Source organism: Homo sapiens, chromosome 7 (assembly GCF_000001405.40).
Source record: "Homo sapiens chromosome 7, GRCh38.p14 Primary Assembly".
Lineage (NCBI taxonomy): Eukaryota > Metazoa > Chordata > Mammalia > Primates > Hominidae > Homo > Homo sapiens.
In genome coordinates this window covers 103,487,789-103,515,679 of record NC_000007.14, presented here as the reverse complement: position 1 = coordinate 103,515,679, position 27,891 = coordinate 103,487,789, and the positions used below count along the sequence as shown (strand labels likewise).

Here is a 27,891-nt window from a genome sequence, read left to right as displayed (position 1 = left end):
ATTGGGAGTTCTGGGATACTTGAATCTGTTCACATTCTATTTCCCCCAATTTAGTGACTACTGAGACTTCATAAAATTAAGCCAGTTAATCGTGGTTTTTGAAAATTATTTTAGCTTATGTCCTTCCCTCACCCACCATGTGACATACATTATCTTATGGCTGGTTGTAAATCTTTTACTCAGAGAAGATATTTGACAAGGGTTCTTCCCCACACCCTTCCCCATCATTTTCCTATAGATTTGTGAATATCCTTCTCCCTCCTGATGCTAAAGAGATTGCCACTCGCTTCCGCTGGTGGCAGCCAAGACATGACGGCCTGGATCAGAACGACTGGGCCATTGACAATGTCCTCATCTCAGGCTCTGCTGACCAAAGGACCGTTATGCTGGACACCTTCAGCAGCGCCCCAGTACCCCAGCATGAGCGCTCCCCTGCAGATGCCGGCCCTGTCGGGAGGATCGCCTTTGACATGTTTATGGAAGACAAAACTTCAGGTAAATTATGCACAGCGCTAAATAAAAAGCCCAGTGGAAATGCAGTGGTTTGGATTTGGGTCTTTTCAAAAGAGCAAAATATGGAACCTTTTCAGATGTTCCAGTGGTGTAGAAACGCTGAAAAGGGTGTCATCCTTTTGTTCCTCTCAGCCTTCCTAGTTGGCATTTTAACTAAATCTTTTCTTTCATTCAAGCCAGCTAGTGTGTTTTTATATATAGCAATCTATAATTTTATTAACAGGATTTTCTTTTCTTAGAAAATTTTCAGTGTTTCCTGTTTTCTATTTTGGGTAGAAAGCCAAAGATTTCTACCCAAATCTTCTGCCCAACAAATGACATTTCCCAGTCATTTGTTTTAGTATCTGAAGACAAATATTGTGTTTTGCTACAGGGCAGACACATTTGTAATGGCATTTCATGTCTTAGGTCATGTCCCAGGTCTTGCTTGTTACCCTTCATTCCCTATAGGGGTATTCAATGATATTGGTGAAGCAGGAAGGACCTCTTTGTACTCCTCTCTTTTTTTTAAGTCAGTTTCATTCTTGTTGCCTAGGCTGGAGTACAATGGCACAATCCCAGCTCACTGCAACCTCCGCCTCCCAGGTGCAAGCAATTCTCCTGCCTCAGCCTCCAGAGTAGCTGGGATTACAAGCATGTGACACCATGCCCAGCTAATTTTGTAATTTTAGTAGAGATGGGGTTTCACCATGTTGGCCAGGCTGGTCTTGAACCCCCAACCTCAGGTGATCTGCCCACCTCGGCCTCCCAGTGTGCTGAGATTACAGGCGTGAGCCACCATGCCCGGCCTATCCTCCTCTCATTTTTAATGTCTTGTTTTCATTTCATGACACTATTCTGGTCATCTTTATAAAAAGTGGTGTCTTATATTAAGTATGTATCTTTGCCATGCCACATATTTGTTATACTACATGAAACATGGTATCTTCAGATAAAGCAGTGATATTCATTATATATCCCATACTAGCATGTATCTAAATAGTAAAGATTGATATACTGTTATGCCAGTATTGATTCAGACAGTGGAACTCTGTCACACCCAGCTCAGCCCCTAGCAACTTGCATGGAAAAGACAGTCTGGTTCATTTTTACAATAATAAGACTGATAAGAATCTTCCAGAAGAATAGCATGTCCTGGAAAAAAAAAATTGAAACTTGAGGAGTTTAAAAATTTTTAATTTTAGTTCATATTTTCTTGTAAAAGTATACATGTTCAAAATGTGAAACAGAAAATACAGAAAATCCTAAGGATGAAAATAAAAATCACTCAGGGGATAACCATTGTCAATATTTTGGCATATATTCTTAAAGAACTTTTTTTAGCGCATTTACATAAACATATTTTTAACAAAATTATAGTCTTAAATTATATATATTTCATAGCTTCTTTTTTTGTTTAGAATTAAATCCTTATTTCCTCATGTCCTTGGATATATTTGAATATAAAATTTTAGTAGCTATATATTCAATAATAATACTGGATATTTAGGTTAATTTCATTAATTCATTTATTAGTATATCATGTGGCATAACGTAACAGCAAATATTTACTTTGAAACACCCTCGTTTAAAAAAAACTTGTAAATAGAAAAAGCTTAAAATGTCCCTCACCACTACTAAGTGTCATATTCTCTTAAGAAGGTTATTGAAATTTGCTTACATAGATCTGCTTCAGAACTTTGCTTCATTACTCATTTTTTTCCTGTATAATGGTTTACATAAGTGAGTTTACAATCAGAGAATAATTTAAACACTGCTTCCATATGAATAAAAGTAAGCACAGACTAGTTATTCAAGTACCTAAAATGCTGATTTGATTTTATGTTTAATTAGCGATATACAGTTGAAGGAACAAATTTTCTGGCTCCTATCTGTCTTGCAAAAATGGAGTTCCTAGAAACTGTAACGTGTACATACAGAAGTAGTTTCTAATACTGCAGGAGAGACGGGTGAGTTAGTTAGTTGAGCAATGCAAGCCCTCTTTCATCAGGATTGCAGAGTTCTAGCATAAAATGAAGTATGTACCCCAGAATAAACTGGCTCAGAGTATTCTTATCGGAATTCAAATTTCTGTGCACTTTGACTCTTGAGTCCTGTATCTGTGATGTAGGACTAAATGTGGCTCCAAATCCCTCACAGTAAAAAAACAGATAATGGAATTGCAGTAACTATTTGAATCTCAGAGATAAGCTGCTTGTTGTGCGGCATATATACTCAGACAAAATCAAAAAGACACAATATGGGTGAAGGCTGAATTATAGTTATCTGGTCTTTTCTCTGGATCCTCTGAGGCATCAACTGTGCTGCTTCCATAGTGGCTCCAAGCCTCCGGCTGCACCTGTTCAGCTTCCCTGGAAATGCTGGGACTAGCCAGAAGACTTTTAGAAAAGAATTGGACCTATAAAATCAAAGCATACTGTGAATGAGATGCAACATATATTATGGATATGTTTAATTTCTAACTTTTCTGGGATAAAATTAATGTAAAATCATCTCTTCCAGAAGAGAAAAGGAACTGTGAGGGTTGTGGAGGAAGGGGTTAAGAGAGAAAGAGAGAGAGGATCAACACACAAGATGTACTCTGCATTAATCAATTCATAGTCTTACTACTTAGGTTTTCTTTAGACACCTTCAAATCTATTTCTTCAGTAGTATCTTGATGAGTACATTTCCTCAAAGTGTTAACTGTTAATCAGGTTTAGGAGTCAAGACTTATTAAAAGAAATATCTATCCAGAATACTTGAATATCCATACATAAATAATCAAATATTAAGAACATTACCAAGGTAAATTTATAACAGTATTATCTTAGAATCCTAATTTCTTAAATAATCTATTTAATAAGATTTTATTTTACTTTTGGCCAAATTAAACATGGCTTCACATTATAGGACTTAAAATTAGCCTTTATAACAAGTTTGTTATAAACTCATTTCTTAAACTCAAAAATCATTTGTTTATCTAATTAAATAGGGTGGTTGCCAGGATCTGGAGAAAGGGGAAATGAATACTTTTTCAGTAGCTATAAAGTTTCTGTCATGCAAAAGAAATAAGTTCTAGAGATCTGCTGTATGACATAGTGTCTATGGTTGACAGGATTATATTGTGCACTGAACATATGTTAAGAGGATATGTCTCTTGTTGGGTGTTCTAAACAGCAACCCCCCAACAAAAACTAAAAACCACACACACAAAAGAATACAAGGAAATTTTTGGAAGTGATGGATCGATTTGGTGCCCTGCTTGTGGTGATAGTATCATGGGTTGTGCATATTTCCAGAGTCATCAAATGTATATTTCATTTTTTAAAACAAATTTTTTAGAGACAGGGTCTCACTCTGCTGCCCAGGCTGGAGTGCAGTGGCACAATCACAAATCACTGCAGCCCTGAACTCCTGGACTCAAGCAGCCTCCTAAGTAGCTGAGACTATGGGCGTGCACCACCACTCCAGCTAATTTTTTTTTTAACAGTCAGGATCTCACTATGTTGCCCAGGCTGGCCTCAAGCGATCCTCCCACTTCAGCCTTTCAAAGTGCTGGGATTACAGGCATGAGCCACCATACCCAGCCAAGATGTATGTTTTAAATGTGTGTCATTTTTGTATATCAGTTATATCTTGATAAAGCTATAAAAAATTCATTACAAGCTTTTTAGTTACCCAGATAATACTTTCAGAATGTGAGTAGTAGTTAACTCTATTCCCTATCCGGTATTAAAAAAAATAAAATAAAATGACCAGCCCAGTGCAATTGTGATTCTTCATGATTCTTTCCTAATAAACGAGACACTGTAAATAAAATTTTTAAAATTAAAAATCATCTCTACTTCTTTATATGCTATCTAAAAAGTTAAATATCTGTCAAAAAATTAGTTATTTCCTTTTGATTTTCATTTACAATGTGTACAATATACTTTTTTTCATGTGTAGACTAATATCTATGGTTGTGTGTGTACTAATATCAGACAAAGGGCATATATCTCAATCCTCCTAGTATTTATGTTCCTGAAACAATGTATTTATATTAGTGTTTTGTCTATAGAGTGTATATAATATGAGCAGTTTCTACTTAAAATAATTCTATGTCTTGCTTAAAGTGAAAATTTGCTTCAAGTATTTTTGTCACAAATTTGTCATAAAATTTTGTTTTTTTGTTTTAAGTGAATGAGCACTGGCTATTCCATGATGATTGTACAGTAGAAAGATTCTGTGACTCCCCTGATGGTGTGATGCTCTGTGGCAGTCATGATGGACGGGAGGTGTATGCAGTGACCCATGACCTGACTCCCACTGAAGGCTGGATTATGCAATTCAAGGTGAAATGTTATGATCTTGATTATATAAACAACCATACATTAGCAATATAACAAAAAATATCAGAGAAAAGATGATCTAATATTTCATTGACTTAGTATATACTTTGAAAAGTAAAATTTACTATTAAACTAATATACAACTCAACTATACATTGCTTAATGATTAAAAGTATTTTATTTCTGAACTATTTCAAGTTGAAACTTTTTTTCATCTTTTTTTATTATACTTTAAGTTTTGGGATACACGTGCAGAACATGCAGGTTTGTTACATAGGTATACATGTGGCATGGTGGTTTGCTGCACCCATCAAACCGTCATCTACATTAGGTATTTCTCCTAATGCTATCCCTCCTCCACTCCCCGACAGGCCCCACAGTGCGTGATGTTCCTCTCCCTGTGGCGATGTGTTCTCATTGTTCAACTCCCACCTATGAGTGAGAACATGTGGTGTTTGGTTTTCTGTTCTTGTGTTAGTTTGCTGAGAATGATGGTTTCCAGCTTCATCCATGTCCCTGCAAAGGACATGAACTCATCTTTTTTATGGTTGCATAGTATTCCATGGTGTATATGTGCCACATTTTCTTTATCCAGTCTATCATTGATGGGCATTTGGTTGGTTCCAAGTCTTTGCTATTGTGAACAGTGCCGCAGTAAACATACGTGTGCATGTATTTTTATAGTAGAATGATTTATAATCCTTTGGGTATATACCCAGTAATGGGATTGCTGGGTGCAATGGTATTTCTAGTTCTAGATCCTTGAGGAATTGCCACACTGTCTTCCACGATGGTTGCACTACTTTACACTCCCACCAACAGTGTAAAAGCGTTCCTATTTCTCCACAGCCCCTCTAGCATCTGTTGTTTCCTGACTTTTTAATGATCGCCATTCTAACTGGTGTGAGATGGTATCTCAATGTGGTTTTGATTTGCATTTCTCTAATGACCAGTGATGATGAGCATTTTTTCAAGTTTGTTGGCCACATAAATGTCTTCTTTTGAGAAGTGTCTGTTCATATCCTTCGACCACTTTTTGATGTTTTTTTTTTCTTGTAAATTTCTTTAAGGTCTTTGTAGATTCTGGATATTAGCCCTTTGTCAGATGGATAGATTGCAAATTTTTCTCCCATTCTGTTGCCTATTCACTCTAATAGTTTCTTTTGCTGTGCAGGAGCTCTTTAGTTTAATTAGATCCCATTGGTCTACTTTGGCTTTTGTTGCCATTGCTTTTGGTGTTTTAGTCATTAAGTCTTTGCCCATGCTTATGTCCTGAATGGTATTGCCTGAGTTTTCTTTTAGGGTTTTTATGGTTTTAGGTCTTAACATTTAAATCTTTAATCCATCTTGAGTTAATTTTTGAATAAGGTGTAAGGAAGGGATCCAGATTCAGCTTTTTGCATATGGCTAGCCAGTTTTCCCAACACCATTTATTAAATAGGGAATCCTTTCCCCATTGCTTGTTTTTGTCAGGTTTGTCAAAGATCAAGATGGTTGTAGATGTGTGGTGTTATTTCTGAGGCCTCTGTTCTGTTTGATTGGTCTATATAACTGTTTTGGTACCAGTACCATGCTGTTTTTGTTACTGTTGCCTTATAGTATACTTTGAAGTCAGGTAGCATGATGCCTCCAGGTTTGTTCTTTTTGCTTAGGATTGTCTTGGCTATACAGGCTCTTTTCTGGTTCCATGTGAAATTTAAAGTAGTTTTTCCAATTCTGTGAAGAAAGTCAATAGTAGCTTGATGGGGATAGCATTGAATCTATAATTACTTTGGGCAGTATGGCCATTTTCACGATATTGGTTCTTCCTAACCATGGGCATAGAATGTTTTTCCATTTGTTTGTTTGCATCCTCTCTTATTTCCTTGAGCAGTGGTTTGTAGCTCTCCTTGAAGAGGTCCTTCACATCCCTTGTAAGTTGTATTATTCCTAAGTATTTTGTTCTCTTTGTAGCAATTGTGAATGGGAGTTCACTCATGATTTGACTCTCTGTTATTGGTGTACAGAAATGCTTGTGATTTTTGCACATTGATTTTTGTATCCTGAGACTTTGCTGAAGTTGCTTATCAGCTTAAGGAGATTTTGGGCTGAGACGATGGGGTTTTCTAAATACACAATCATGTCATCTGCAAACAGAGACAATTTGACTTCCTCTTTTCCTAACTGAATACCCTTTATTTCTTTCTCTTGCCTGATTGCCCTGGCCAGAATTTCCAATACTGTGTTGAATAAGAGAGAGAGCTAAGAGAGGGCATCCTTGTCTTGTGCCTATTTTCAAAGGGAATGCTTCCAGTTTTTGCCCATTCAGTATGATATTGGCTGTGGATTTGTCATAAATAGCTCTTATTATTTTGAGATATGTTCCATCAATACCTAGTTATTGAGTTTTTAACATGAAGGGCTACTGAATATTGGCGAAGGCCTTTTCTGCATCTATTGAGATAATCATGGCATTTTTGTCATTTATATGTTGGATTATGTTTATTGATTTGTGTATGCTGAACCAGCCTTGTATCCCAGGGATGAAGCCAACTTGATCTTGGTTGGATTTGGTTTGCCAGTATTTTATCAAGGATTTTCACATCAATATTCATAAGGGATATTGGCCTGAAATTTTCTTTTTTTGTGGTGTCTCTGCCAGGTTTTGGTAGCAGGATGATGCTGGCCTCATAAAATGAGTTAGGGGGGATTCCCTCTTTTTCTATTGTTCGGAATAGTTTTAGAAGGAATGGTACCAGCTCCTGTTTGTACCTCTGGTAGAATACAGCTGTGAATCCACCTGGTCCTGGGCTTTTTTTGTTTAGTAGGCTATTAATTACTGCCTCAATTTCAGAAATTGTTATTGGTCTATTCAGGGATTCGACTTCTTCCTGGCTTAGTCTTGGGAGGGTGTATGTGTCGAGGAATTTATCCATTTCTTCTAGATTTTCTAGTTTATTTGCATAGAGGTGTTTATAGTATTCTCTGACGGTAGTTTGTATTTCTGTGGGATCAGTGGTGATATCCCCTTTATCATTTTTTATTGTGTCTATTTGATCCTTCTCTCTTTTCTTCCTTATTCGTCTCACTAGTGGTCCATCTCTTTTGTTGATCTTTTCAAAAAACCAGCTTCTGGATTCATTGATTTTTTTGAAGGGTATTTTGTGTCTCTATCTCCTTCAGTTCTGCTCTGATCTTAGTTATTTGTTGTCTTCTGCTAGCTTTTGAATGTGTTTGCTCCTGCTTCTCTAGTTCTTTTAATTTTGATGTTAGGGTGTCAGTTTTAGATCTTTCCTGCTTTCTCTTGTGGGCATTTAGTGCTATAAATTTCCCTCTACACACTGCTTTAAATGTGTCCCAGAGATTCTGGTATGTTGTGTCTTTGTTCTCATTGGTTTCAAAGAACATCTTTATTTCTGCCTTCATTTCGTTATGTACCCAGTAGTCATTCAGGAGCAGATTGTTCAGTTTCCATGTAGTTGTGTGGATTTGAGTGAGTTTCTTAATCCTGAGTTCTAATTTGATTGCACTGTGGTCTGAGAGACAGTTTGTTATGATTTCCGCTCTTTTGCATTTGCTGAGGAGTTTTTTACTTCCAATTATATGGTCAATTTTGGAATAAGTGCAATGTGGTGCTAAGAAGAATGTATATTCTGTTGATTTGAGGTGGAGAGTTCTGTAGATGTCTATTAGGTCCGCTTGGTCCAGAGGTGACTTCCAAGTCCTAGATATCCTTGTTAATTTTCTGTCTCGTTGATCTAATATTGACAGTGCGGTGTTAAAAATCTCCCATTATTATTGTGTGGGAGTCTAAGTCTCTTTGTAGGTCTCTAAGAAGTTGCTTTATGAATCTGGGTCCTCTGTATTGGGTGCATATATATTTAGAACAGCTAGCTCTTCTTGTTGCGTTGATTCCTTTACCATTATGTAATGCCAGTCTTTGTCTCTTTTGACCTTTGTTGGTTTAAAGTCTGTTTTATCAGAGACTAGGATTGCAGCCCCTGCTTTTTTGTGCTTTCCGTTTGCTTGATAAATATTCCTCCATCCCTTTATTTTGAGCCTATGTATGTCTTTGCACATGAGATGGGTCTTGACTCTTTATCCAGTTTGCTAGTCTGTGTCTTTTAATTGGGGCATTTAGCCCATTTACATTTAAGGTTAATATTGTTATGTGTGAATTTGATCCTGTCATTATGATGCTAGCTGGTTATTTTGCCCATTAGTTATGCAGTTTATCCAAAGCATCAATGGTCTTTACAATTTGGTATGTTTTTGCAGTGGCTGGTACTGGTTGTTCCTTTCCATGTTTAGTGCTTCCTTCAGGAGCTCCTGTAAGGCAGGCCTGGTGGTGACAAAAATCTCTCAGCATTTGCTTGTCTGTAAAGGATTTTATTTATCCTTCGCTTATGAAGCTTAGTTTGGCTGGATATGAAATTCTGGATTGAAAACTCTTTTCTTTAAGAATGTTGAATATTGGCTTCCACTCTCTTCTGGCTTGTAGGGTTTCTGCAGGGAGATCTGCTGTTAGTCTGATGGGCTTCCCTTTGTGGGTAACCCGACCTTTCTCTCTTGCTGCCCTTAACATTTTTTCCTTCATTTCAACCTTGGTGAATCTGACGATTATGTATCTTTGTGGCGTTCTCTGTATTTCCTGAATTTGAATGTTGGCCTGCCTTGCTAGGTTGGGGAAGTTCTCCTGGATAATATCCTGAAGAGTGTTTTCCAACTTGGTTCCATTCTCCCCATCACTTTCAGATACACTGATGAAACATAGATTTGGTCTTTTCACGTAGTCCCATATTTCTTGGAGGCTTTGTTTCTTTTCACTCTTTTTTCTCTAATGTTGTCTTCCCACTTTATTTCATTGATTTGATCTTCATTCTCTGATATTCTTTCCTCCACTTGATCGATTCGGCTATTGATACTTGTGTATGCTTCACGAAGTTCTCGTGCTGTGTTTTTCAGCTCCATCAGGTCATTTATATTCTTCTCTAAACTGGTTATTCTAGTTAGCAGTCCCTCTAACCTTTTTTCAAGGTTCTTATAGCTTCCTTGCATTGGGTTAGAACATGCGCCTTTAGCTTGGAGGAGTTTGTTATTACCCACCTTCTGAAGCCTACTTCTGTCAATTTGCCAAACTCATTCTCCATCTCGTTTTGTTCCCTTGCTGGCGAGGAGTTGTGATCCTTTGGAGGAGAAGAGGCATTCTGGCTTTTGGAATTTTCTGGCTTTTGGAATTTTCAGCCTTTTTGCGCTGGTTTCTCCCCATCTTCGTGGATTTATCTACCTTTGGTCTTTGATGTTGGTGACCTTAGGATGGGGTCTATGAGTGGACCTCCTTTTTGTTGGTATTGATACTATTCCTTTCTGTTTGTTAGTTTTCCTTCTGGCAGTCAGGCCCCTCTGCTGCAGGTCTCCTGCAGTTTGCTGGAGGTCCACTCCAGACCCTGTTTGCCTAGGTATCACCAACAGAGGCTACAGAACAGCAAAGATTGCTGCCTGTTCCTTCCTCTGGAAGCTTCATCCCAGAGGGGCACCCACCAGATGCCAGCCGGAGCTCTCCTGTATGAGGTGTCTGTCGGCCCCTACTGGGAGGTGTCTCCCAATCAGGATACACAGGGGTCAGGGTTTCACTTGAGGAGGCAGCCTGTCCCTTATCAGAGCTCAAATGCTGTGCTGAGAGAACCGCTGCTCTCTTCAGAGCTGTCAAGCAGGGACGTTTAAGTCTGCTGAAGCTGTGCCCACAGCACCCCTTCCCCCAGGAGCTCTATCCCAGGGAGATGGAAGTTTTATCTATAAGTCCCTGACTGGGGCTGCTGCCTTTTTTTCAGAGATGCCCTGCCCAGAGAGGAGGAATCTAGAGTGGCAGTTGGCCTTGCTGAGCTGAGGCGGGCTCCACCCATTTCAAACTTCTGGGTGGCTCTGTTTACACAGTGAAGGGAAAACCGCCTACTCAAGCCTCAGTAATGGCAGACGCCCCTCCCCAAACCAAGCTCGAGCATCCCAGTTCGACCTCAGACTGCTGTGTTGGCAGCGAGAATTTCAAGCCAGTGAATCTTACCTTGCTGGGCTCCGTGGGGGTGGGACTCACTGAGCCAGGCACCGAAGGGAATGTCCTGGTCTGCCAGTTGCAAAGACTGTGGGAAAAGCGCAGTATCTGGGCCAGATTGCACTGTTCCTCCCAGCACAGTTGCTCACGGCTTCCCTTGGCTAGGAAAGGGAAATCCCCCGACCCCTTGTGGTTCTGCCACACTCTGCTTCAGCTCACCCTCCATGGGCTGCACCCACTGTCCAACCAGTCCCAATGAGATGAACCGGGTTCCTCAGTTGGAAATGCCGAAATCACCCACCTTCTGCATTGATCTTGCTGGGAGCTGCAGACTGGAGCTGTTCCTATTCAGCCATCTTGCCAGCTGTCTCTCAAGCTGAAACTTTTATAAGAGTAAATGTGTTCCTGCTCAGGATGAAATACTGATAGATAAAAATATCAACAATAAAAATGTAGGATACTGATTATAACTCCGAGTTAAATCATTATGACTTAAGCAATTTGTTTCAACAAGAGAAAATTAAAGCTATAATGGTTATTTCTACTTTTTTTCCTCTTACCCATCTCTCTATTAATACTAACTATAACTTAGAAATTTAGGTGAAATAAGACCTTTTTTTCTGAGACGGAGTCTTGCTCTGTTGCCCAGGCTAGAGTGCAGTGGCGTAATCTTGGTTCACTGCAACCTCTGCCTCCCGGGTTCAGACGATTCTCCTGCCTCAGGCTCCTGAGTAGCTGGGATTACAGGTGCACGCCACCATGCCCAGCTAATTTTTGTATTTTTAGTAGAGACAGGGTTTCACCATGTTGGTCAGGCTGGTCTCAAACTCCTGACCTCGTGATCCACCCGTCTCGGCCTCCCAAAGTGCTGGGATTACAGGCGTGAGCCATGGCACCCAGCCTCTAGTTTTTTTTTTTTTTTTTTTTTTTTTACAAGAACATTTGGATGTTTCTGGAGAAAAAAATTTATAGAAAACAAAGGCATGATTAGCATTAATGTCAACATCAATTTTGGCTAATATTTAGGCCAAGATTTTATGTGAACCAATTTATTCTGTCTACCTAAATCCCACTGTATTAACAGCAGTGTCACATCATGGCTATCACCATCAACGAAGGGTGCTGTGCCTTGTTTAAACTACCTTCAGTTATTATTTCATCTTACTTGTCGTTGAAAGTGTTGTATTGAGAGTCATAAATTGTACAACAAAATAGTAAAATTGGTAAAGCTGTTAGCTATTCTTCTTGGTTAAGTATTCTGCCAAATAGAAATGCCAGACCATTAGCACAACTAACAGTTTGTAGGAGTGAGCCCAGGCCTTCCAAGGCATTCAGCCAGCATGGCAGAAGCACGGGGTCTGAGTTTCTCTCCAAACCCCCTACACAATATATTTGGCACTTTCTATAATTTGTCACCTGGGGCAATCATGGTGACTTTCTCTGTCCATTAGCAGAACAAATAATGAATCTGAAAATACAGGATGGATGTGGTACAGTGTATATCAAGTGATCAGCAGCTTTTTTGCTGCCAAGTCCTTGGAGAAGAATCATATCATATAGTTTTAATACCTTGATCTTGTTTTTCTGTTTATTAGATCTCAGTTGGATGTAAGGTGTCTGAAAAAATTGCCCAGAATCAAATTCATGTGCAGTATTCTACTGACTTCGGTGTGAGTTGGAATTATCTGGTCCCTCAGTGCTTGCCTGCTGACCCAAAATGCTCTGGAAGTGTTTCTCAGCCATCTGTATTCTTTCCAACTAAAGGGTGGAAAAGGATCACCTACCCACTTCCTGAAAGCTTAGTGGGAAAGTAAGTAGAAAACTAAAACAAAGCCTGGTTCCAAGCATCCAGAAGGTACACCATTAGGTACACTGTTGTCATGCCTGAAATTATGTGTATTTGTGGGTAAAGTGCTTTCTTTCTCCCTAACTCTAAAGGTTCTCTAATTGGTTACTTTCATCATAACTTCCATGATGAGCTAACTTCAGACCTCAATTTGTAATCCTCAGACTTGGCAATATGGGCTTTTGCAGACTCTTATTTTCTAAACCTCAGTATCTTAAAATGGGAACAGAGCAATAGTGATGGCCTTGGAGCCAGATGAAAAGGTGTACCCTACCTTCTCAACCTTGTAGACTGTGGACCTCTGTGCACTATATACTTTCCACATTATTGCCTTATCAATCCATGATAGACAGAGCCAGGAGCAAATCCTAACTCATCATGCTATTTCTACCACTGTGACTTATGGGATCCATTTTTCTCTTATCAAAGCATTGTATTCTGATCCTGCAGTGAGAGGTAATTAGCCTGGACCAGTGATGAGCAGAGGTGATTAAACCTTGCTCTGCAAAGTCTGTGGATATATTAATTTAAGGCAATTCCAAAAGATTTCTCTTCTACTTTAAAAGTAAAGATACACAAAAGAAAATAACAGGTGCACCTAGACTGTATTAATCAGATAGTCTGACTAAACAAATCTTGTGAAACATAAAGAGTCTTTGAATAAAGTGCTTACGCACAGTTCCCAGTGTCCCATAGATATTATTATTATTATTATTACCACTCAGGGTTTTCTGGAATGTATCTAAAGAGCTTATTCAATTAACATACTAAGGAATTAAATCAGGATGCTTTCAGCTGCAAGGAACAGAAAACCCAATTCAAACCAGCTCGAAATTTGTTATATCTATAATGAACGAATCCAAAGATAAGTGAACTCTAGGGCTGGTTGATTTGTAAGTTGAACGGTGTCTTCAGGGACAGCGTTCCTCCTTATCCTCTTAAGAGAATATCTGCTGTCCACGGCACTGGCGGCATACTCAGCTCTCTCAGGCTGGTTTTGCTATTGAACATGAGATGGCAGCCAGAGAACTGGGGCAGGATGCTTCCGTACTTACGTCCAGTGAGAAAGAAAGATAGTTGCTTTTGTTCCAAGACAGCCAGAACAAGCGCCACCTTGCATCCCACTGGTACCAATTAGCCACTCAATAGTTGAGTTAGGAAATGATTATTTCATGGATTATCTGGGGTGAAATGGATGCTGGGGACCCACCATGATGTCTATCACAGACTCATTTTCTCCTCCCATTCTCTTTTTGTAATAATGAGGTATAATTTACATTCAGTAAAATACATACATCTTAATTGTTCAGATCAATGAGTTTTTAGTTGTGTAACCCATGTAACCACCACATAAAACAAGATACAGAACATTTATATCACCCCAGAAAGTTCCTTCATGTACTTTGGATTCTTTAAACCAAAATAGTATGGCATATTTTAATATAAGGATAATTATGAGGCTTGTTTTTTCCCCCAGAAGACAGAGAAGAACAAAGATGAAATTAAAATCTCAAAGAAAATGTCCTTTAATATAACCCTTTCAAAATTGTTTTCTAATTAGCATAGTTACTCTGAGAATATTGATTGTCTTCAGGGAATTCAGAAAATGCTGCCTCCCGACCGCCTGAGGGCTGTGTGTATGCTGACAAGGCTCTTGTCAAAGGCGTCACTCACCTTCTGTACAATTTCAGAAATGCAATTAGTGAATCTAAATTGCATCATGACCACGGAACTCCAATTCAGAAGAAACCTGATTTATGAAAGTTACAGATTTGTGTATTTAAATATTTCTATTTATTTCTTGACACAGAGATTCCACTGATTTAATTTTGTTGTGCAAGTGTGCTCAGATATTCTGAAATTTCAATAAAACCAGCTTGAAAGTTCCATTACTAGAAAGATAAGAGTGGTCAGAAAACATTTTTTATTAACCTATTTCATCTAGTAAGAGTATCTTAAATGTTTTTTCTCTTGAGTACTGAATACACATGCAGGACAATGGACCTAAATACAGTTAACTTTTGTTTTTCACTCCTTTGCTTTTGCATTGTCAATAGTCCGGTAAGGTTTAGGTTCTATCAGAAGTACTCAGACATGCAGTGGGCAATCGATAATTTCTACCTGGGCCCTGGATGCTTGGACAACTGCAGGGGCCATGGAGATTGCTTAAGGGAACAGTGCATCTGTGATCCGGGATACTCAGGGCCAAACTGCTACTTGACCCACACTCTGAAGGTAAGGGTAAAGCCCTGGACAAGACGCATTACTCACATCATGGGTCATGCCTAGGAACCAACTTATGTATGAGACATAATCTATAACAATGTCCTTTGGGTCCCCCAGGAAAGAAAATCCTTTGAATAGAAACTTTAAAAATGTCTTATGTTTCCTAAGTACAAGAATATTAGGATCAAGTTCTAGTACAGTTTATCCAGTTCATAAAATGAGCCAGACTATATGGATTACAAATGATAAATACTCTGGGTTTCTTTTTTTTTTCTTAAGCAGACTATTTTTAAAGTCAATATTAAGCCTTTTTTACTTCACTTTTTCAATTGATGCACTATTTGAAGGAAGATATTATTGTTATTATTGTTATGAAATAAAGCAAATAATATACATTATCACAAAAGACCAAATTTTCAAAAAGGCCTAAACAGTACCTGAATTTTTGTTTAGAAAATTCTGTGTTCTGATTCGTTGACTGCTGAAATGGGGTTGTGTATTAAGAATGGAGAGGTCACTTTTGAAAGCTTTAGCTGTTACATCATTATTTAATATGCAAAGCAAATACAGTTACCCAACACAGTTGCCACATATGCACTCTATTTCTGTGAATAAACATAGTGCATTTGTCATTACAATAACAGAAAAATGACTAGGCTAAAAAAAGCAAAATTCCTAGTGATTGAAATCCAACATATGAGAGTCAACAATGTAAATCAAACCTGTTCTGTCATTTGTGTTTGTTCTAATACTTCAACTATGGAATTGAACATTTTTTAAATAAAATTGGAACAATGCTCATTTGTGTCTGAAGATGTAAGTACATTATTAACAAATGAGGTTACCACATGAAAAACAAAGCTTTATATACCACAGGTAATTAATAAACTTTTGAAAATCTAATTTCTTTCATGAGCACTCAAATTTTATTAGTATTCCTCAGTTGGATAAGAAATTGTACAAATCTATAAATTATAAACCCTGATTAAAATCTTCTAATGAAAGTTTACGTGGTTAACCATGCATTTCTTCTAACACTTGTCTTCTTACAAGCTTTCAATTATAAAACGTATTCATTTGCTATCCATTAGTGAGACTAAGGCAGACTGACATTTGACTGTATGTCTTTAACTATAGAATTGATTATCTTCTAAGTTTGAGAAAAAGAAACTGTTTAAATCATTTTAACTACACAGTAAGATAGAACTCTCCTTAAATGAAAAAATATAGGTTTTTCTGTATACAGTTATTGCATTGCAACTAGAACAAATTGGCTTTATGATATCTTTTCATCATTTTAAACAAGAAATGTGTCTCTACCTAATACAAATCTGCATTATGGATAAAATGAAAGTACTGTAGACAGAATGAATAGGGAAATTAAGACCTTGACTATGAGGAGATAAGCAAATTTTACAAAAAAATGTAGCCAAGAACCTTTATACTTTGTACACTCTCTGAAAAATAGATTTTCTGGTTGTCAATCATTCTTAGTTAAAAGGATAAACTGGAGACTCAGGGGAAAATATTGTATTCTAGATTTTGAGTACTTATCACCCTGCAACTTGGCCTGATAAACAGGTGAAACATCTTTCAAACTGCCTTCAAAGGTTTACTTTCTTTTGACTTATATAGAGAGATTTGGTTTCAAGTGTCCCTGCCTAACCATGTAGACCTTCAAGGTTCATTCTGTGCTAGAGGCTGAAGGATCCTGGCTGCCTGAAGCAGTCTCCAAAGTGAGGGCACACACACCAGGACAATCCATTGGGGAATGTCAGGGGGAAAGTGCTGGATTGCATGTTTATATTTTATCTTATTGCTTTCAAATTCCTTTTGGCATGTTTCATAATATAATACATTACAATAATACTTTTATATACTATATAAACAAATATACATGTTTGGGGGTATATGCTTAAATAACTAACTAACTTTTTACAAATAGAAGTGTTACTATAATATGGCCAGGCATGGTGGCTCACACCTGTAATTCCAGCACTCTGGGAGGCGGAGGTGGGCAGATCACTTGAGGTCAGGGATTCGAGACCAGCCTAGCCAACATGGTGAAACCCCATCTCTATGAAAAATACAAAAAATAGCCAGGTGTGGTGGCACACACCTGTAATCCCAGCTACTCAGGAGGCAGAGGCATGAGAATTGCTTGAACCCGGGAGGCAGAGGCTGCAGTTAGTTGAGATTGTGCCACTGTACTCCAGCCCAAGTGACAGAGCAAGACTTCGTCTCAAAAAAAAAAATTGATATAGTCAACTTTACAATTATTTTAAATTTCAATTATTAAACATTATTTGAGCAGTTTAAATGATTTTCAATATACGACAGGAAAAAAGATTGTGGAAATAGCCTTTTTTAAACATCTTTGAAAAGCATTTGAAATCAGCTCTATTTTTTTTAAGTCCAAGACATCACTCTGTATTTTCTTAAATATTCCATAGTTATCTGAAATTGTTTTTTTAACCACATCTGGCTTATTTTATTTCCAGACTTTCCTGAAGGAACGCTTTGACAGTGAAGAAATCAAACCTGACTTATGGATGTCCTTAGAAGGTGGAAGTACTTGCACTGAGTGTGGAATTCTTGCCGAGGACACTGCACTCTATTTTGGGGGATCCACTGTGAGACAAGCGGTTACACAAGATTTGGATCTTCGAGGTGCAAAGTAAGTGAATTTTTTGTTAGTTATTTCTATTGCACCATAGCAAATTGGTCCCAAAGCAAGGAACACTTGTATGGAAGAAATTATCCAGGACTTGAGTAGAGTATTTGTTCTAATGAATTATTCTGATGGATAAAATGTGCTTGCATTCAGGTTCCTGCAATACTGGGGGCGCATCGGTAGTGAGAACAACATGACCTCTTGCCATCGTCCCATCTGCCGGAAGGAAGGCGTGCTGTTGGACTACTCTACCGATGGAGGCATGTGTCAGGGGTGAAAACCACCCCTTGGAGCAGATTCCCAAATTCCATCCAACACCCTCAGAAAAGTCTCTGCAAAGCTTTGCTGACTTCACAGTTTGAATTGTGAAACTCACAAAGAAAAAGCTACAGATTTTGTTTGTATTACATGTTCCGTACAAGTGACTTCTGTGTTATGCAAAAAGGGAAGGAGAGAAATCACATTAAAAATAAAGTCCAAACTTTATGAATAAAGAAAACAACCTCTACGCTTTACTGAAGCTTGAGTGATACAATTAAGAAATACATTTTGTATGATTTCCAAGTAAAAGATCATTTTTAAAACTTTAAAGCATTTTTAACAGCTTATGTGTAAATAAGCATGTAATAAATGCTATAATCTATGGAAATCTTCTAAAATTGTGAAAAAAAAGTCTGATTTTGTGAGTTTGTCATAGAATATTTTAATAGAATTCTGTTTTGTTATTCTGAAGTAGCTAAAACCAGACCAGTAATACCATGGTGTCTTTAGAAAAATCTGCTTTAGCAGATAGATATCATTCTTAATAACTAGCTGATTAACAGATGACCCTAAAGTATTTTAAGGTATTTGAAGGATGTTTTCTTAAGTAATTAAACATCCCACCTGCAATCTTATCAAGCAAGAAGAGATAAACTTTATACCAGTCCAAATAATTAAATTGCATAAAATTACAATAACTATTTTAATACTGAAAGCTATTGCCTAGAAACATGTAAAACATGGGTGTATCTCATTATTTGTGAGAAATAAGAATTTAGAACTAAATTTTAAAAGCAAAACATAACTTATTTTTACTTCAGTGTTTTTATTTTGGCCAACTCTTTCGAAATATCCTTCCCCTCATATCATTAGCCTCATACAGAAACAGTATAAGTAGTGAATACCTAATATCAAAGTCAGGAAAATCAGTTGTCATTTCCTGGCTGAAAATTTCTTTGGGAAGTTCACAGTATCTGAAGTATACTGGTGGTTTATGAGGAGGCAGGAGATTCTAGATATATTGCTATGTTGGTATATTTGTTATTATAGGAATTACCTGGACTTTGCTCCATGAGATGGATTACCAGAAATACATTTCTGTTAGACACGACTACATACTTCTTCCTGAAGATGCCCTCACCAACACAACTCGACTTCGCTGGTGGCAGCCTTTTGTGATCAGCAATGGAATTGTGGTCTCTGGGGTGGAGCGTGCTCAGTGGGCACTGGACAACATTTTGATTGGTGGAGCAGAAATCAATCCCAGCCAATTGGTGGACACTTTTGATGATGGTAAGAAACAAGACATTGAACAATTTTCTTTCCTGTGAGCCATTTTTCTGCTTATGTCTTCAGATAGATTAGCACATGAAAAGCATTTATAAGAGTGCCTAGCCCATACTCCTGCTCAACAAATGTTAGCTGTTATTTTGCCCAGTGGTTTATAAATCTTCAAAGTTGGCTGCTTTTTGAAATGTCCACTGAGCATTCAATAAATCATGTTAAAGGCTCAATGTCTGGCTTTAAATATAATTTGAAATTTCAATACCCGAAAATAATTTTAGTTTCTTTAGTAATTAATGTGTCACAGAAATACTTAATGCACTGGCTGACAAAGTGTATCAAGAACTTTTCGGTGCTAGGTTACCTAGACTAGCAATTACATTTTAAAAGTACGGTAATCATTATACTACCATTTAATAGTCTTGTCAAAGTTTGATTTCTCACGTTGGATTTATGCATTATCCCAGTTAAATAAAATAAAAATCAATCCTAAAGTGTAAGCAGAAAGCTAGTAGAGCATAAAAATTTAAGGAATTCAACAATAAATCGGTCAGTTCAAGAGAATAATATGCCATATTGCTTCCAATTTTCCTCAAGAGAATAATATGCCATATTGCTTCCAATTTTCCTTAACAGAAGGCACTTCCCATGAAGAAAACTGGAGTTTTTACCCTAATGCTGTAAGGACAGCAGGATTTTGTGGCAATCCATCCTTTCACCTCTATTGGCCAAATAAAAAGAAGGACAAGACTCACAATGCTCTCTCCTCCCGAGAACTCATTATACAGCCAGGATACATGATGCAGTTTAAAGTAAGGAAAAGTGGCTCTTTAAAACAGAAAGTAGCATTGCATTTGGGGCCTCGAGGGAGAATGGTTAGTCAGACAACTATAAGGAAATGACTGATATTATTCATTAAAAAAGACTTTATCTTATGAATAAAAGAGGTCATCTTTTGCAAAGACCTTTATTCAAGTATGATTACTTGAGGATAGATAAAATCCCTGAAAATGTTGGGACATAGCAAGAAATGTAACTATTAGGCTGGTGCAAAAGTAATTGCAGGCCGGGTGCAGTGGAACCATGCCTATAATCCCACCACTTTGGGAGGCTGGGGCAGGAGGATCACTTGAGGCCAAGAGGCCAGGAGCTCCAGACTAGCCTGGCCAACACGGCAAAACCTTGTCTCTATAAAAAAATAAATAAAATAAAAAAGCCAGTCGTGGTAGTGCACACCTGTAATCCCAGCTACTTGGGAGGCTGAGAAATAATAATCGCTGAAACCTGAGAGGCAAGATCATACCACTGCACTGTGGGCGACAGAACGAGATTCTGTCTCAAAAAAAAAAAAAAAAAAAAGGAATTACTTTTAATGCCAATTCTTTTAATGGCAAAAACCGCAATTACTTTTACACCAACTGAATATATTCTATCTTATATATGTAATCTGGATTTCAGTCTCCCTACCCTTGTAAATAGAAAGCTCAAATAGGGCACTCTGCCTACTTCTATCTCTACTCTGTAACACTATCTCCTTTTTATGTTGCACAGTTCTCTCTCTCTCCCTTCCCTTCCGCTGTCTCTCCCCTTCCTCTTTATCTTACTCCATGCCTATTATGTGCATTGAGCCATTTTTTCTCCATCTATTTTTTTTCCAGTGTATCTTTCTATTTTCTTGTGTCTCTGACTTCATATGCCTATACTACATTAGTCCTGTTGGAACTTCCTAAATCCTCAAAAAATTAAGGAGGACTCTCAAATATTTTAAACTGAATACTTGATTCATATAGGATGAAAGTGAAGACATAAATAATTAATAGACACTCAGAGAAAGGCAAAGCAATATCAATTGATGTATCTCTATTGCAAACACCTGTAATCCCAGCACTTTGGGAGGCCAAGGAGGAAGGATCTCTGAGGCCAAGAGTTCAAGACCATCCTGGGAAACATAGCAAGACCCCCTATCTCTACCAAAAAAAAAAAAAAAAAAAAATTAGCTGGGCGTGGTGGCATGTACTTGTAGTCCTAGCTGCTCAGGAAGCTGAGGCACAAGAATCACTCGAGCCCAGTGGTTGGAGGTTACAGTGAGCTATGATCCCACTACTGCACTCCAGCTAGGGCAACAGAACAAGACCATATCCCACACACACACACACACACACACACACAAAAGTCATTACAGAAATGTATTGTATTACTAGGTCATTTTAAAGACATCAGTTATTCTAATACCCTTTTTTGATGTACTACAATGACAGTTAATAGTAAAAATCCTTACTAGCAGAAATAAAAATGTATTTGCTTTTCGCCTCAGCTCTATGTTAAACTCTCCTTTGGGGACTGGAGGGTAAGGCAAGCTCCCCAAATGCTACCACTCCTTCAGGAGTATTCTTAGCTTAGTGATATGAAGAAGTGTTACACTTCCTCTACTTCTAAGCCCTGTTCCTTAAGAGTGAAGATTTTCCCTCTCCCAGGTTCACATTGTGGCCCAGATCAAAGGTATTATATTTGATTGAGTTGATTGGAGCCTCCTCTTTTGTTACTTCTGTAACAGAAGTAACTGCACTGAAGAGACTGGGTCTCTCTTTCTATAACCAAGGCAATTTCTTTAGGAAAAAAAGAGAGTCTATCCTCAAAAATTTAGTAAAGTATCACTAAAACTACATACTTGAAAGTCAGCAGAGACTTACCGTACCCAATATCAACAGTTTTTGCACATTCCCCACCTTCTCTTTCCTCTCTACACTATTTGACACTGTTATTCTTGCCCTCTTCAACCTGTGGAATTCTCTTTCCCCTAGGCTTCTGGGTTCTCTGCTCGTTCTCCTTCTACCTCTTTGATATCTGTTATCTTCTTATGGCTTTTCTCCCCTCAGCCCTCTAAATGTCAGCATTTCTCAGTATGTATCAACTTTCTTCTCTCTCCATAGACATTCTCACCATCAGGAATTGTATCCAATCATCTAGCTTCAAGAATCATATCTTGAAGAGCAAATTTCAAATCTGCACATCCAACCTTGACTGGCTAACAATTAATTCAATATTTTAATAGCCCCTACACATTTCTACACCTTTGCACATTGGCACCTCAACTGAATGTGTCTAACGGTGCACTTAATATCTTCCCTCACCATACCAACTCCTCTGATTTTCCTGTTTCTGTCGATGGCACCACCAATCACCTAGTAACTAGCTTGAAATGTTCAACTAGGCTTTGATTTTTCACTTTTCATATCTAATCAGTGACTACATCCTTTGAATTCTACTTTCCAGTGTTCCTGGTATCCATCCAATCTTCTCTGTTTGCACTATCACCACCTCCTTTCTGGCCCTAACTAAATCAACAGTTGACTAAGTACTCTTTTCACTCCCAATCTCTCTCTCTCCACTCCTATCTGTCTTTGACATCATGGTCAGATTGATCTTTATAAAGCATATCTCTAAGCAGCACATCATTCCACAGAAACCTTTAATGACTCTCCATCACTTACCAAATTAAGGTCAAACACCTTAGGCTGCAGCTTCTGGTCTGCCAAATTCAACCGATCATTCTAACCTCATCTCTGAATATTTCATATACGATATACTTGGACCAAAACATGCTATATACTGTGCTCTTGATGTCCCACCATGATTCCCTACTTTGTCTTCACTCACACTCTTTCTTTCACCTAAATATCTTTTTCCTATCTCTACCTCTCACACTCTTCCCAGTCTTCAGGGGCAGCTCGCATGTACCCTATCTATCTGATTATTTTCTAATCCACTGAATCAAATACTATCTCCTTTGAAGCACCACAGCATTATATTTGTGTATTATGATTCCCACTATCATTATGCTTCTTATTCTCTCTCTGAATTTAGAGTTGTTTTATTCATGACTGTATGGCCTGAAATTTTTAACACTAACCTTCCCTAGTTATCAGTGCTGAAATAGGACATGATTAAATAGATGATTAGGACTTAAATTTGAATCACCAAATTTTTATAGCATTTATGTATTATTAATGATTCAAACATTTAATTGCATATAATATGGAAAGCTTTCATTGATATGGAAATACAGAAAACCCCAAGAACGAATATTAAGTAATTAAAATTGCTGATTTTAATTCCAACTAAAAATTTAATAGTAACAATCAAGAAAGTTAGGCTATCAATGAAATTGTTTTGAATCAGTGATACTTTCAGTTTCTGTCTATAAATTTGACTAATGTTACTTTCTTTTTGGCCAGTTTATCTTACCCAGATTTGTGATTAATTTTTTATTATACTAATTTAGTACATAGAAATGTAACTTTTAAAACCTTTATTTTTATCTCCATGCAAAATTGAACATCTTTAACAGAATCCAAAAGAATGTATTCTTGGTATCCCAGCAGGCTGCTCTATAAAAGCTTCTCTGAATATTACCTATCAGAGTAATAAATGGACGGATGGGATTTTAATTAATGGAATTCAGTATCATCTAATCTTACCTGTGTATTGATTGTTTATGTTTGTTTTAGATTGTGGTGGGTTGTGAAGCCACTTCTTGTGGTGACCTTCATTCCGTAATGCTGGAATACACTAAGGATGCAAGGTTTGTGAAATAATTTTTAACATTATCTTCAAACTTGAATACCCCATCCAAATCGTTGTGTGTGTGTGTGTGTGTGTGTGTGTGTGTGTGTGTGTGAGAGAGAGAGAGAGAGAGAGAGAGAGAGAGAGACAGTTTCGCTCTTGTTGCCCAGGCTGGAGTGCAATGGTGGGATCTCGGCTCACCGCAACCTCCGCCTCCCAGGTTCAAGCGGTTCTCCTGCCTCAGCCTCCTGAGTAGGTGGGATTACAGGCATGTGTCACCACGCCCAGCTTATTTTGTATTTTTAGTAGAGACGGGGTTTCTCCATGTTGGTCAGGCTGGTCTTGAACTCCCGACCTCAGGTGATCCGCCTGCCTCTGCCTCCCAAAGTGCTGGGAATTACAGGCTAAGGCAGCTGCTTACAGAGGAATAACCCTATATCTTAAAAGTGGTAGTTCGTGCATATTTTTATATAAATTTCACTTGTACAAAATGTATACATATGTCTTATTTTCAAAATTTTCCTTCAAACCAAAAAAATCCATTTTCATTCAAGGCTGCCACCAAGAAACTTTATATTTTAAATTTTATCAAAATAAGCAAAGCACTACATTTGTCCTCAGAGTAGAACTCTCTTATTCATGTTACTCATTTTCAACTACCTCTAACAAAAACTTTAATCAGTGAATGATCTGAATATGCATCAGCCAGAGTCACCTCTTCTAAAGCATATTAACAGTATTGAATAAAAGTCTGACATAGTTCAGTTACCTTATTAGGGTTAATAGCCCTCCGACTATCACCTTTAAACATTAATTACATTAAGTTTGAGAAGACAGACAATTTTGTCATTCAACTCCAGGTATATTTCTAGTAACAATGTCAGTAGGAAGAATCCACCAGAATTCATTGCTATGCATGCTATTATTTTATTCTGTTGTCCGTGTGCTTTTAAAGAGTCAGAATATTTCTTAAGAGAAAATATTTTAATTTTTTTATAATCTGTAATTATAAATGTTTATAGAAAACAGGAAACTCCTATACAAATATTTTAATTTAACCCGATCACAAAGCATTACCTTGACATTAACAGATTATATGTTTCTCTTACAATTTGTCTAACAAAGCCTTTTGGTTTCTGCAGATCGGATTCCTGGCAGCTCGTACAGACCCAGTGCCTTCCTTCCTCTTCTAACAGCATTGGCTGCTCCCCTTTCCAGTTCCATGAAGCCACCATCTACAACTCTGTCAACAGCTCAAGCTGGAAAAGAATCACCATCCAGCTGCCTGACCATGTCTCCTCTAGGTAGGTTGCAAATTAAGGTAAACTTTGTGAAATTATCTGGCCTCTCTACAGAGTTCATGCAGTGAGCTGAAAACAACTGACAGTGTGAGGCAGAGCTTTACATGCAGCCCTGGTGCCCTCTCCCATCTTCCCTCCTTTTCTCCCTCCTCTCACCAACCCATGCCCCCAAATGGCAACTGCATGTTCCAGGAGGAAATTGGAGTGTGTCTGTAAATGATTCAGAGATCTCAGATTTCCTTTGACTTAATACCATAGCATGTACCAAACTCAATCACAGGCCCTGAATGACAGACCCCAATCCAAGACTGGTGTTGGCACCAGTTCTGCCCCAGTGTTCTGCCTTCCCAAAGGCTGCGCTTCTCATCCAGATACAAATACCAGCTGGGTGTGCAGGGCTGACAGGTTACACAAAGCTGCAGGATAAATACAATGGAGTGCAATCTTCCTAGAGCAGCATTCGGTTTACTCAAAGATTTGGAAAACGATACACCTGTGTAGGAAAAATGTACACAGATTTATTATGGACTAGAATAGGAAATTCACATGAAATTTTCAGAGAAGATACAAGCTTCCAGAATGGCATTTTGGGTTATACTCCCAGAGTCTAAGAAATACAAGTTCTCTCACCTCTGCCAGCAGGGTGCTTCAGGAAGACATTTGGGAAGCCCTTTTCTCACAAATAGTCCCCTCTCCCAGAGGCTGGAGGCAGGATGCAGCCATGGAAGTAACAACCTACTGAATCCCTTCTGCTCTCTGTGGTTCTTTCAGTGCAACACAGTTCCGCTGGATCCAGAAGGGAGAAGAAACTGAGAAGCAAAGCTGGGCAATTGACCACGTGTACATTGGAGAGGCTTGCCCCAAGCTCTGCAGCGGGCACGGATACTGCACGACCGGTGCCATCTGCATCTGCGACGAGAGCTTCCAAGGTCTGAATCCCAGGCTGCCAACTTTGATAGAGGAGACCAAGAGGTTCTCCTCATCTTAACATATATACAAAAGTCCACTAGGAAATGGATAGAAACTCCAGCCTGAGGGATCTGAGATTCATGACACACTCCTTGGTCACTCTTTAACTTTGGGACAAATTATTAAGCATAGATTTATGCAATATTCCTGAAGGCATTTTTTAAAATATAGAAATGAAATCTACTCCAGACATTCTATAAATATATAAGCATATAAATCCAGATATGCTAAATCAGGATATGGTATAGTACCTCACATTCTCTGTCTTTCATATAACTCCCTGCCCCTGCCCACAGCCCCAACACTTAATTTCCACTTCTGGGCCTCCCTCCTTCCTGGCCTAGCTGCCTGTGCCTACATACTTGACCAGTATCCCTCCTTCCTCAGCCTCTTCCAGCAGCAGCTGCCACTGTTCTCCTAAGATGTAGCTGAAAACTCAAAATGTTCTGGTTTCCAGGTCACTGTGACACGGACACACACACACACACACACACACACCCCTTTATGACTCAAAGAAATACATTTTCACTCCTTGAGTTTCTAGAGGTTGAGTATATATCCAGGGCAGAGAGTATCTACTCGACCCTTCACATCACAGGAAATTGCTCTGTTGGTCTGTTAGAAGGTATGCAGGCCTGCTTTCCTTTGATCCAATGTTTCTAACAGGTTTCAGCCTCTATCATTACAAAGTTCGCTTTCCATAGTTAACATTCTATATCCTCATAGCTTAATACCTGGCCGATAGCAATGCTAATAAATCTTCTTTGAATTAATCCTTAACACTGTCTTATGCTTTACTATTTACATAGTATACACCAACTTATTCTTCAGTCGCTTATTATCTATGATATCCCCATCAGTTATCTATGGTTAATATAATTATTCCCATGCTACAGGCAAAGAAACTGAGACTCAGGGAGGCTAAATGACCTGCCTAAGGTCACACAGCCAGCATATATCAGAAAGACCACTAGTCAAGTTGTTCTTTCCAATCAGCCTTGCTGTCACTCATGGCTGAGAGATTTATCCAAGGAGGAGCAGAGTTAACACAATTTCCCCCAGATATACAATGTAAGAATCCATGTTTTTGAATTCTGGAGTCGGATCTATTTAGATTTCTTGGTTGATGTTGTTTCCTTGAATTGAAATCAAATGGATATGATTAATGTAGACTGCTGCACATCTCTGATGTTAGAAATTACTTAGCCATTTCCTTTCTCCCCTGGTGTCATTGTCACTGAGACCGGCTGGGTCTGTCACTGTATTAGCTGGAGAATTTTAACTCTAGTCAAATGAGTGAATCAAATGTCTCACAAGAAGTCCTCGATGTCTGGAATTTGCCCTCTCTCCTGAACCTTAATTTGAAACTATTAAGGACATGTAGAAAAAATGTACTGTTTAAATCAAGGGGAAATGCAAGCACATACACGTTTGCTAATATAATATCTTACTTAAATGCCAGTAATTCAGTTCAGTGGTCTCTTAGAGACACTTGCAGTTTTATCATTATTTATTTATCCCAGCTTCATTACTGAATATCTTTTTTTTTTTTGAGACGGAGTTTTCACTCTTGTTGCCCAGGCTGGAGTGCAGTGGTGTGATCTCAGCTCACTACAACCTCTGCCTTCTGGGTTCAAGTGATTATCCTGCCTCAGCCTCCTGAGTAGCTGGGATTACAGGCACATGCCACCATGCCCAGCTCATCTTCTTTTGTATTTTTAGTAGAGATGGGGTTTCACCGTGTTAGTCAGGCTGGACTCGAACTCCTGACCTCAGGTGATCTTCCCACCTCGGCCTCCCAAAGTGCTGGAATTACAGGCATGAGCCACCACGCCCCACCCATTACTGAATATCTTATATGTGCTAAATATTGTTTTAGGTGCTGGAATCCAACGAGTTAAAATATAGACACT

At 38.3% G+C, this 27,891-nt stretch overlaps 1 protein-coding gene and 1 long non-coding RNA gene across 3 annotated transcripts in view, besides 1 other annotated feature; one reads left to right on the top strand and one right to left on the bottom strand.

Moving 5' to 3' along the window:
• Positions 1 to 27,891, top strand: part of RELN (reelin) — a 517,870-nt gene that overhangs the window by 473,979 nt on the left and 16,000 nt on the right. For both annotated transcript variants that reach the window (NM_173054.3, NM_005045.4), the window contains exons 50-60: positions 239 to 495; positions 4,675 to 4,829; positions 12,450 to 12,664; positions 14,758 to 14,935; positions 17,428 to 17,603; positions 17,754 to 17,860; positions 18,912 to 19,154; positions 19,782 to 19,957; positions 23,654 to 23,727; positions 24,851 to 25,012; positions 25,781 to 25,938. In NM_173054.3, the coding sequence (NP_774959.1) occupies positions 239 to 495; positions 4,675 to 4,829; positions 12,450 to 12,664; positions 14,758 to 14,935; positions 17,428 to 17,603; positions 17,754 to 17,860; positions 18,912 to 19,154; positions 19,782 to 19,957; positions 23,654 to 23,727; positions 24,851 to 25,012; positions 25,781 to 25,938 (1,901 nt within the window). The remainder of the gene's footprint in view (positions 1 to 238; positions 496 to 4,674; positions 4,830 to 12,449; positions 12,665 to 14,757; positions 14,936 to 17,427; positions 17,604 to 17,753; positions 17,861 to 18,911; positions 19,155 to 19,781; positions 19,958 to 23,653; positions 23,728 to 24,850; positions 25,013 to 25,780; positions 25,939 to 27,891) is intronic.
• Positions 1,673 to 27,891, bottom strand: part of SLC26A5-AS1 (SLC26A5 antisense RNA 1) — a 68,801-nt gene continuing 42,582 nt past the window's right edge. Inside the window, exons 3-4 of the long non-coding RNA NR_110141.1 lie at positions 11,156 to 11,276; positions 1,673 to 2,911 (exon numbers count right to left, since the gene is read on the bottom strand). This is a non-coding gene — a long non-coding RNA (SLC26A5 antisense RNA 1). The remainder of the gene's footprint in view (positions 2,912 to 11,155; positions 11,277 to 27,891) is intronic.
• Positions 24,802 to 26,001: an enhancer, noted in NCBI's record as "BRD4-independent group 4 enhancer chr7:103130126-103131325 (GRCh37/hg19 assembly coordinates)". NCBI's record gives its function as "activates an origin of replication core promoter dependent on BRD2, P300/CBP, MED14 and CDK7 cofactors, and independent of BRD4, by STARR-seq in HCT116 cells {active_cell/tissue: HCT116}" and the evidence as "EXISTENCE:reporter gene assay evidence [ECO:0000049][PMID:35650434]".